The sequence below is a fragment of the Homo sapiens genome, chromosome 8, assembly GCF_000001405.40.
Source record: "Homo sapiens chromosome 8, GRCh38.p14 Primary Assembly".
NCBI classification, from domain to species: Eukaryota; Metazoa; Chordata; class Mammalia; order Primates; family Hominidae; genus Homo; species Homo sapiens.
In genome coordinates, this window is record NC_000008.11 from 123,657,010 (window position 1) to 123,668,001 (window position 10,992).

The 10,992-nt window shown below is 44.3% G+C and overlaps 1 long non-coding RNA gene across 1 annotated transcript; it reads left to right on the plus strand.

Moving 5' to 3' along the window:
- Positions 1-928: 928 nt before the first annotated feature.
- LOC105375738 (uncharacterized) lies at positions 929-10,515 on the plus strand. Its single transcript, XR_928606.3, has 4 exons — positions 929-1,100; positions 1,240-1,669; positions 4,360-4,451; positions 9,339-10,515. It is a non-coding gene; the product is annotated as an uncharacterized LOC105375738 (long non-coding RNA).
- The last annotated feature ends 477 nt before the right edge of the window (positions 10,516-10,992 follow it).

Here is a 10,992-nt window from a genome sequence, read left to right on the forward strand (position 1 = left end):
TATCATAACAAGTCAAGGCCTGAACTTTGGGGGCAGAAGGGCTGGGGATAATCTTGGCATTTCCCCTCAGTATTCATGTGGTCTTGGGTAAGTTATTTATACTCCTCCAGCCTCAGTTTCTCCATCTGTTAAGTGGGGATAACCATCCTTGTCACAGTGAAATAATGTATGTGCAGTATGCAGTAAAGTGCCTGGCACAGTGTATATTCATAGTAAAGTATGGTCAGTATGATATTATTACTCTAAAATTAATCTCATTAGATTCCAATGGGTCTTGGTGCCTGGTTTTCAGTGTCTCAATTGGTCCCCTGTGCATTCTAGCATTTTCCTTTTCCTTGAGCAATTGCTGTGTTCCTCATGATCTACTTAGCCTCCAGGAGTCCTGGCATTCAGTCTGGGCTCTGCTATCGACTAGCTGTGCATCTTTGGATGAGTCAATTAACCTCTCTGCACTTATTTCCTCACCTGGCCCTTCTAGATCACCTTCCTGTGGTTTGTACCCTGAGGTGTTCTCTGCAATCTGTGGCCTAGAACAGGGACTGGGAGAAACTGAGACTGAGGGATGAGGGCTCTTCAGAGCTTCCTCACGGCTCTCGCCTGAAGCCAAGTGCAGAGAAGAAACCTAAGTCGAGCTCCCAGCAGGTGCCCTTGATGAGTTTGCCCTTGTAAGTCAATCCAGAAAGCCTTCATTTTCCCTCCTGGAGTTTTGGATTGCCATGGTGGGCACTTTGACTCAGGAGGCCTTGGTTTCTTTCCTATCTGGGTGTGCGGGGTCTGGGTCCCCAAGGAAAGGGCAGGCTGGCTCCTGTCAGCAGCAGGTTTGACAACAACAGCTGGGAAGCCACAAAACACTCTCTGCCACAACCCTACCCTCAGTCCTCTCAACCCACTCGGGGCCGTGCTCCCCATCTGCTCCTTCCAGGAGAAGTCCCCTCACTCTAATTAGGAACCATAGCTATGGTGATTGCTGTGTTTCAAGGATGGACAAACATGCACATAAAGGCCCCTGTGGTGCTGCGGTCTCTCTGGAAGGCTGTCCCCTGCTAGCATCAGAGAATCTCCTGTTCTTACAGGTGGAGAGAAACATGAGGAGCAGACAGGTAAGGTTGCAATTAACTGAATCATTATAAGCTGTAGGAAGAAACCTGGGTCTTGATATAAGATTTTAAATGTTTTTAAGTATACGTGAGAGCCTGTCTATCTGTGTCTGTGTCTATCTGGCTGGGTGTGTTTTTTCAGCAGCCCGTGGAAAGCGGAACAAGGACTTTGTACTCCAGACAAAGGCAGAAAGGGGGCCTGATCCATGAGTCCAGGGGTTGCCATGACGACCGTCCTCCAGAAGCAAAAATTTTAAGGCTACTCCGACTAGGCCAGTAGTGCAAATGTCTGCATTCCCAACTCTTCCTCCACCCTGCTCCATCACCAGAAAATATCTTCATATTTTTTTCCCCTGGGGAGAATAAGGGGAAAAAAAGGACAACACAGATGACGTCAGGATGGCTAGCAGATTGTTGGTATAACCCGGCTGTCTGCCCCCCTCTTTCTTCCTGCAAACTAAAGTCTGACCTCATCCATCATTTATGCCACAGATCAGCTTTCTGGGCTTTCAAACTGGGAAGAAAGAAAGAACAGGACCAAGGATGCTTTCTTACTCTCCTGTTTCAGCACTGTGAGTCACAAAGAATAATACACTGTCTTGGCCTTTCTGCTCCCCAGGACCAGGCGTTCCCTCTTGGTGAGATAGGCATTTAGGCAAAAACATCACCTCCCCCTGACCACTCAGGAATGGTCTGGCAATTTGCTACCAACTTGTGGGATAGAAGGTGGGAGGCTTACAGATGAAGGACTGACTGGGAGAGTAAATTTTATTACCTTAAAGTGGGATTCGTTAGGATCTCTATGGGAAATGGGAATCAAGCAAGGAAGTGTTATTTATCCATCTATCCATTTATCCATCTATCAATTCATCCATCATCCATCCCTCCTCCATCAATTCATCATCCATCCTTCATCCATCCTCCCTCCATCCATCATCCATTCATTCAGCCATCCATCCATCCTCCATCCATCATCCATCTATCCATCCATCATCCATCCATCCATTCATCCTCCATCCATCATCCATCTATCCACCCACGCATCGTCCATCATCATCCATTCATCCATCCATCCATCCTCCATCCATCATCCATCTATCCATCCATCATCCATCCATCCATCCTCCACCAATCCATCCATCCATCCATCATCTATCCATCCATCCATTCATCCATTGTCCATCCATCATCCATTCATCCATCTATCCACCCATCTTCCACCCATCCATCCATTGTCCATCCATCATCCATTCATCCATCCATCCATTCACCCATCTTCCATCCATCCATCTTCCCTCCATCCATCTATCCATCCATCCTCCATCAATTCATTATCCATCCTCCATCCATCCATCATCTATCCATCCACTCATCCACCATCTATCCATCCATATATCCATCCATTCATCTATCCATCCATCCATCTATCCACCCATCCATCCATCCATCATCTATCCATTCATCTATCATCCATCCATCCATCTATCCACCCATCCATCCATCCATCATCTATCCATCCATCCATCCATTCTCCATTCATCCAGCATCTATCTATTCATCTATCCATCCATCATTTATCCATTCATTCATCCATCCATCCATCATTTATCCATCTGTTCATTCATCTATCTATCCATCCATCATCCATCCATCCATCCATCCATCCATCCATCCATCCATCATCTATCCATTCATCCATTCATCCATCCATCCAGCATCCATTCATCCAGCATCCATCCATCCATCCATCCTTCACCCACCCAGCATTCATTTATCCATTCATCCTCCATCCATCATCTATTCATCCTCCATCCATCCATCCATTTATCTAGCCATTCATCATCTATCCATACATTCATCCTTCATCCATCCATCATCTATTCATCCATCCATTTATCCAGCCATCCATCATCATCCATCCATTCATCCTCCATCCATCCATCATCCATTCATCCATCATCCATTCATCTGTACATACAGACTCTAGAGAATCAGACGAAGTCTCGGTCCACACAGAACTTACAATCTTGTAGGAAAGACAGACAAATAAATAATTTAAGTGTCCAAATTGTTCTGTGGGAGAGCCTTCCCCAACCTCCCTCCTTGCAATCTCATCACCCTCCCACCATGAATTCTTGGTAACCTTCTGGAGAACTTTATACATATATCTTTATACATAGAGCTCTCATATCACCTGAATTTTTGTCATGTGTTTCCATCTCTCTCTCCTATTTTAGGTTTTAGCTCTTTGAGGGAAGAAATAAACCTTAGCCCTCTGCCCCTTATTAGTAAAGGCAGAGATGAAATATAATAGAATTTGGTGACAGAGAGTTTGACCCTGGAGACTGTTTGCTTCCTTCTTTGTATTTTTATAAGTGTCTGTCTTTTAAGTTTTTCCAAAAACATTTTTTAACCTATGTTTTTCTAATGATCAAAAACAAGAGTAACGAAATATTTTTTGATTCCCTGCTAGTAAGAAAACAAATCTAGAACACTTTTATTTCTTCCCATTTTCAGGCTTTTATGAAAATAATCTGGGGTTTAATTAAGGCTTGGATTACTGTCATCAAATTTTATATAATGTATCTTTTAAGAATTACTTTGCTATTTGCTTTTATTTATGACAATTATTTACACTTAGCTCTGTGTTTGGCTGATTTACACCCGAGCTGCCAGTTTTTTTATGCCACAAGTTTCTCATTCTTAAACGTTTAATTCTGATTCATCTTTGAATAGGAGTTCATTAAATTGCATTTTTTTTTTTGAGACAGGGTTTCACTCCCATTGCCCAGGCTGGACTGCAGTGGCGTGCACTTGGCTCACTACAACCTCCGCCTCCCAGGCTCAAGCAATCCTCCTGCCTCAGCCTCCTGAGTAACTGGGACATAAGCGCGCACCACCATGCCCGGCTAATTTTTGTATTTTTAGTAGAGACAGGGTTTCACCATGTTGCCCAGGTTGTTCTCAAACTCCTGGCCTCAAGCGATCTGCCCACCTCTGCCGATATTGCAATTTTTTAAAGGAATAATATAGGAGAGGTGTATTTTCTGAATCCTCAAGAGTCTCCATCTCCTACCACCTATGAACAATAACTTGGCTTGGTATAACAATTAGGGGTCAAATTTTTTTCTTCAAATATCTCTAGAAACTGCTCTTCTTATTCTGGAAAAGCTGAAGTGCTGCAGAATAGAAGTCTGCGAATTGAGTGATTTATAGCCTTTTTGTTTGTTTGTTTTTACGCTGACTCCACTCCGACTTTGAGGAGGCAGAGGATCCCTTGACATGAGCACTCTTCACTGTCTTCCACATCTTGCCATGTTCTGTGCTTGAGAGTTGCAGTCTCTGAAAAATATGGTATGGTGTGTGTGTGTGTGTAACACTGTACTCTGGTTGCCTCAAAAGATGTCACCTGTGTAGTAGAGACTAGCTGGTCAGTTTTAAGATTGTTTTTAAGATTGGTCTGTACTCTGGGTCTCTGAGTCAAGGAGCAGGAGTGTAGAAGAAATGAACTCTCTCCTTACTGACTTTCTGAGAATGGATGTCCTGTCCTTCATGAGGCAAAGTGTGAATAGGTCATTGACTGGCTCCTGGACCAACTGCATCTGCTTTCCCACTATTCCAGTGACTCCTAGATTCTGCTAAGGTTTTTTTTAATCAGTCTTACTTTCCTGGGGGTGGTAGGTGTTCACTATTTCTTGTAAATAATGTTTGGTGGCAAATAGGTGCTACTAGAGAGATACTGTTTTGTATTAGAACACCAGCTTTATGCCTTGTTCTTGAGGTTAGATCCTCAGAACCTACCAGGATTCAGGAGCCTCTTGGATGGATAAAGGCTTCCCTTGTCATCTCTTTACTTTTGCTGACACCTGAATAATCAAAAGGTAGAAGAAAGAGTGAGCAAAAGTAAACATGGTTGATTTGGTAACCTCCATTCCTAGGGAAGCTTGCCAGAGTCCCCAGGGCTTCGGGTAAGGAAGTAGGGAGTATCTCCTTGTGTTTTCCATTCCAGTGGGCAGGCCAGTGCAGGCCATGGAGTTTCAGACATGAGCTGGAGGTTGGAGAGTCTGCTATTTAAACTTTTCATTCCACCCAGTGCTTTGCCAGTTGCCCAAAGGCATTGCACAATATTGGTAGTAATAATAGAACCAGGAATCTACCATTCCGCCTGGGAGACGTGCACATTGTTCCACTTCTCATCTTCAGAATTTTCTTCAACCCAAGTGCCTGAAGGGGGACTTTCTTTATCTGCGGCTCCTAAAGTAGAACGTTATGCAATGGGGTGTGGGGTGGGGGTAAGCTGATGCTGAGTGTCCCAGATGTCAGTGGATGTTCCTTCAGAAATGATTGCATAAGAACACTATACGATCATAGGATAACCTTTTCTGAAACTGGGAGAGCCACCAGGTCATATCAATGGATTATTTCATTCCAACACAAAATGATTGAACACCTCCTACACACCTGTTATATTCCCTGCCCACAGAGTGTGTTTGGAGAGACACACAAAGATCCCATTTTTACCATGCTATACACTAGCCCTCTCTTCTGTCTGAAAATCCCTCTCTCCCAATTAGAGCAGATAATGAGTTAGACAACAATGGCAAGGAAAGTGCAGGTTAAGGAGGGGAAGAGATTTTTCCAAGTGGTGTTATTAGAACATGAATTTTCTCTAGAAAGAAGGTTCTGGTACTGTGATTAGCTTGTCAGATGAGCTGGTTGGGGTCTTCAAAGGGGCACCTTGGAGAGGTAAATGAAGCAGTACTGAATCTGGGCCAGGCCTGGGGTGTTAAGGTGGTATTTCTCTTAGCACAATGCCTCTGAGGTATTGAGGGAGTGCTGGATAGGGAGAGTGGTCTGACTTGGTGTTACCTCTGGATGGGGAGGAGGAAAGGCATCAGAGACAAACTCTTTTGCTTCACAGCTATCCCAAGCTTGTCCAAAGGCCTTTTTTTTTTTTTTTTTTTTTTTTTTTTGAGACGGAGTCTCACTCCATCACCAGGCTGGAGTGCAGTGGCACAGTCTTGGCTCACTGCAACCTCCACTTCCCAGGTTTAAGCAATTCTCCTGCCTCAGCCTCCCGAGTAGCTGGGATTACAGGCGTGTGCCACCACGCCCCGCTAATTTTTCTATTTTTAGTAGAGACGGGGTTTCACCATGTTGGTCAGGCTGGTCTCGATCTCGTGACCTCATAATCCACCCACCTCGGCCTCCCAAAGCGCTGGGATTACAGGCATGAGCCACTGCTCCCGGCCCCAAGGACCTTTGAAAAACATTTTTTCTCCTCCCAGTGCATCACATAAGGTGCCTAGATATTCTGATTAGGCCTTTCTCTCCTGACATTTCCCCACAAACATTCTTCTTGTGTTCTCTTCTTAGGCCCTTTCCCCTTCCTAACCTCCACTTCCCACTACCTCCCCATCTCATTTTCTCCTCTTGCTCAGCCATGTTATTATTGTTCCCAAAACCACTGTCCTGTTATCCCTTCTGTTATCCCTCCTCATGAGGAATCAACATTTCTGGACTTAATGGCCCGGCCTCCTGATTCCACTCCTTTCCCCTTCTTTCTGTGGGCACATCCAACTGCTCACAAGTGGGGGTGGCTTTATGGAAAGGGCCATTTCTCCAGTTACAGTTCCTGCATGGAAGCTGCCTCTGGCCAAGGCAAGACATCTCACAGGAGAACCAATGGACGGTCTATGGACAGAACCAGTTCTCTAGGGGCAAGGCAAGAGCAGAGAGCCCCACATGCTGAGGCAGCCAGGTGTTTTTCAGGTGAATTTACTTATTAAACTGTGAGTCAATAATCCATGATAGCCAATTTTCTAGTCTGTGTAGAGGAAGAAAAGTGATCTTTGAACAAACCTAGGTTGAACAAGGTGTTTGCCACTTACTCATCAGGTACCTATGAGTAATTTACATTCTCTGTGTTATTCAGTCTTCATGATTATTCTTATGATTTTTATGGGTAATAATAATTTTTATCTCTCATGATTATTATGGGGTAGGTTATATTAAGGTTTTTAGTATAAGTATGTCTCAAATATTGCACTGGACACACTTATGTTAAAATTGTCTCATCATCTCAAATTCAAGTTTAAGGGCATATCCTGTGTCTTTGTTTGCAAAACCTGGCAGCCTTCCATGAAGCCCATACTACAAATGAGGTTAAGTGACTTGCTTAGGGTGCTTGATAAACGTTAGCTTCTTGCTCCTGTTCTTCTCTGTCTCCATCAATCAAATGGTCAAAAGAGAGAAAGAGGGAGAGAAAGACAACATTATTTAAAGTGAACGCACAAGTTCTGCCCTTCTGCTCATTTGCCATTTCATTAGACATTTTCACCTATTGTCAGGAGTGTCCTGGCGACACTCAAAATCAGTAGAGGGCACAGTGGTGATCAGATCCTTTGGTTGAATCCCAACCAGAATTTTGACCTTTCTGAAAGGGGCATGGCAAAGTGGAGAGCCAGAGGCCTTGGCTCTCACAGCCACGAATGCTGGCCCTGGCTCTGGTATCAACTCAATCCATGAACCAGGTCACCTCTATTAATTCTTTTATGAGTTTTGTCTTCTTTATTGAAAATCAACGATGGGAATACTGACCTCCATTCTTCACTGGGGCCATGTTATGCAGCGTGGTGCAGCATCTGATACCGGACAGACCTGGGTTTCAATCCCAGCTGTACCACTTACCAGCTGTGTGACCTGGGGCAAGATACCTAATCTCTCTGTGCCTTGGTTTCCTCACCTATAAAATAGAGATAAAGATAGTGCAAAATAGAATGAAGGCTGCGTGGTGTTGAGGCAAGGCTTACTAATTAATTCTTTCACTCAAATAAGCACTTATTGAAAACATGGTCAACCCCTCCTATAAATGTTCGGGGGCTGTGAATGAATGCTTAGCTCTGTTCTAGGAGAAACTGGGGATACTGAGAGAGCAGAAAATCTGATCTATGCTCTGGAGGACAAACGATCCCATAGGAGGAGACTAATTGTACCCAGGTGAAACAACAAGACAATAAAATCAAGGGCATGATGATTCGGTGTAAGCTCAGGCATGGTGCTAGAGAGGTCATGAATAGTGGCAATCATGTCTCATGCTTTTATACCCATGCAACTTTATACCAAGGTCATGCACAGACATTAGAGGTGAAGTAAAGAGTGGTCAGAATGAGGAGGAGCTGCTTATAGGAAGCTTCTTGGAGAAGGGGTTTCTTGAAGAAATAATAGATTTTGGTGGGAAGGTGGCACCTCTGATGGTGCAAATCCAAAGTGCCAAGGTGGGGAGCTGGTGACACCCAGCATGGCAGTGGAGGGGCAGAAGTGGGGCTACAAGGAGACTGGCAATGAGACCTTCTCACAGCCTCTTCCCTCTGCTGGAGTGTTTTTCCCTCAGAGACTCACGTGGCTGGCTCCTGAATGTTCAGGACTCAGTTCAGCTATTATTTCATCAAATAGACTCTTCCCTGAGCACCTAAAGTAGCATGTAGCCTCTCTCCACCCCTCCCGTTTGTTTCTCTCTGTTGTATCACTGTATCACCCTGTTTTGTTTCATTGTATTTTTCAGATTTTGAAATGATTCTATTTGTAGCATTTCATTGTTTGTTTGGTCTCCCTTAATAGAATAAAAGCTCCATGAGAACAAGAGCATTGGGCCATAGTAGGTGCTCAATTAATATTTGTTGGATGAGTATATGAACAGGGAGGTGGAGGCCTCAGAAGGCTAGTCTAAGGAGTTAAGGTTTTATAGAAAATTCTAAGGGCTTCAATAAAACCCATATAGAAGAATATTGTATGTCTCAGAAGGACTTTCTGGAGATAGGAGTTGGTGAGTGGTTCTTTTCTCTTTGCTTTAAAATGAGTCTGGAGGGTTGAAGTGACTAGGGGTATCCATGGATGAAGATGGAACCTGGGTTTTGGGGCCTTCTCTACCGGAGGCTGTGTTAGGGCAGTGGTTCTCATTCTGTCTTCACATGATGGTCCCTGGAGAGATTTGAAAATTCCCAATTTCCAGGCTACGCCACAATCCAAGTCCAATAAAAGGCAAATTTCCAGGGGTGGTGCCCAGGCATCAGCATTCTGTGAGCTTCCCAGGAGATTTCACTGTGCAGCCAAGGGTGGGAACTGCTGTGCTAGGCACTGTGCCCATCTCCTAGGGACTGGAGGCACAATTCACTAGCCTCTCTTGCTCACAGTAAGAGAGAAAGTAAAACGGAGTAACTTTTCTTCTTGTCTTCTTCACAGAGACTCTGCCCAAAGGTGAAATGCAGTCAGCTAAGTTCTTGGGTGCCTTTCTGGATTTGAGAACCTGTTTGGAATCAGCCATACGTTTCCGTCCACTGGGAAATGGGGTTGACCTGCCTTAGCCAGGCCTCACATGCCATCCTGATGAAACATTATTTTAGGGGCTGGCAGCCCTGAACTGGCTTCTGTTCTGCTGGCCCCATAGGCTGGCTCAGTTCCAGGCTCACCTTTCGCTACCCTTGTGGCTGCCACATTGCCCAGCTTTGATTTATCGTGTCTTCAGCAGAGCTGTGGGCCTAGAGTGATTTAATGTTGATATTATATGTCACACAGAAGATGCCAGCATCGCCAGCAGATCTCATGTCTCCACTCTCCAGCAGTCTGGATTGAGGGCCCTAAAGAAGGCAGGTGACCCTAAGGCCCCCTCTTGGAAAGGGGCTGTTGAACGTCCTTTACTCTTCTTAAAATTTCCATTTGAAACCTGTTTTGCTGCATGTCACCCCCTGCAGCCAATATTGATGTTAATCTTGGGCTGCATATGCAATGTGACCTCGGATGAAATTGAACAACTGGGTAATTATCTGTGGACCTATTTCTAATGAAATAATTGGAATAATTGGAATAGGATTAGTAGAACTGCAGAGAGACCTGTTGCTCCTAGCTGGGCTCTTAATGCCAAACAAAAGAAGCAACGTGTCAGTAATTCAGTTGGTGGATGCCTTGGAGCCATTCAAGATGCATTTTGCTCATTAGCCAAATCTCTTCCTGCCCTCATCCTCCCCCAACATTTGTTTCAGATGTGATTTTCATGAAGCATGTCCCTGTGTCTTGTTTGTCTTTGGCAAACACAAGTAACTATTATAAATATAGCATTGGATCTCCCTGCTCTTTGGGGACCCTGAGATTTATAGTGCCATGGTTGCTAATTAATTTATGATTCCTTCATTTAACAAACATGTTGAATGAGCCATTTGTAAACACATCTTGACTGAGTACCTCCTATGCCTCAGCCACTCTTCTAGGCACTGACAGTGGGAGAGGCAGACAATAGATAAGCAGAACAAATCAGTTGATCAATCAATAGAGATGATGTGATTTGAGATGATGATAAGAGATGAAAAGGCAGCCTGTGATGGAGAAGGGATAGGAGGAAATGACCAGTTTATATCTAGTGGGCAAGGAGGACAGAGACATAGAGAATTTGTTACCAAAACACCAGGAGTTTTGTCTAAGTTCTGTTGCTTGACACCCAGAAAGCCAATCACTGAGAAGACGACTGTTGCCAGGGAAGAAGGCTTTAATCGGGTGCTGCAGCTGAGGAGGTGGGAGATAGAGTCTTGAGTCCATCTACTCAAGCACCTAAAATCAGGGGTTTGTATAGCACGGCAGAAATGTAACCATGTATGGGAAAACAGAAATTAGGAAGGAGTGAGGAAGAGGAGTTGGTCAACAGGAAGCAGGTGGTCAGATAGGGAATCATGATGGGTGAGGGTCTGGTGTCTCTTTGCCCAGATGTGATGGTCTTATAATTTCAGCTCCTCGATATTATCTTGGGAGAGGGGGTGATGACTGGGTTCCTGAGAAAAGAACTCAGGTAAGACAACTGTAACTTTCTCAAATTTTAAGACTTCGGGATCAATTTTTATGTTTATTC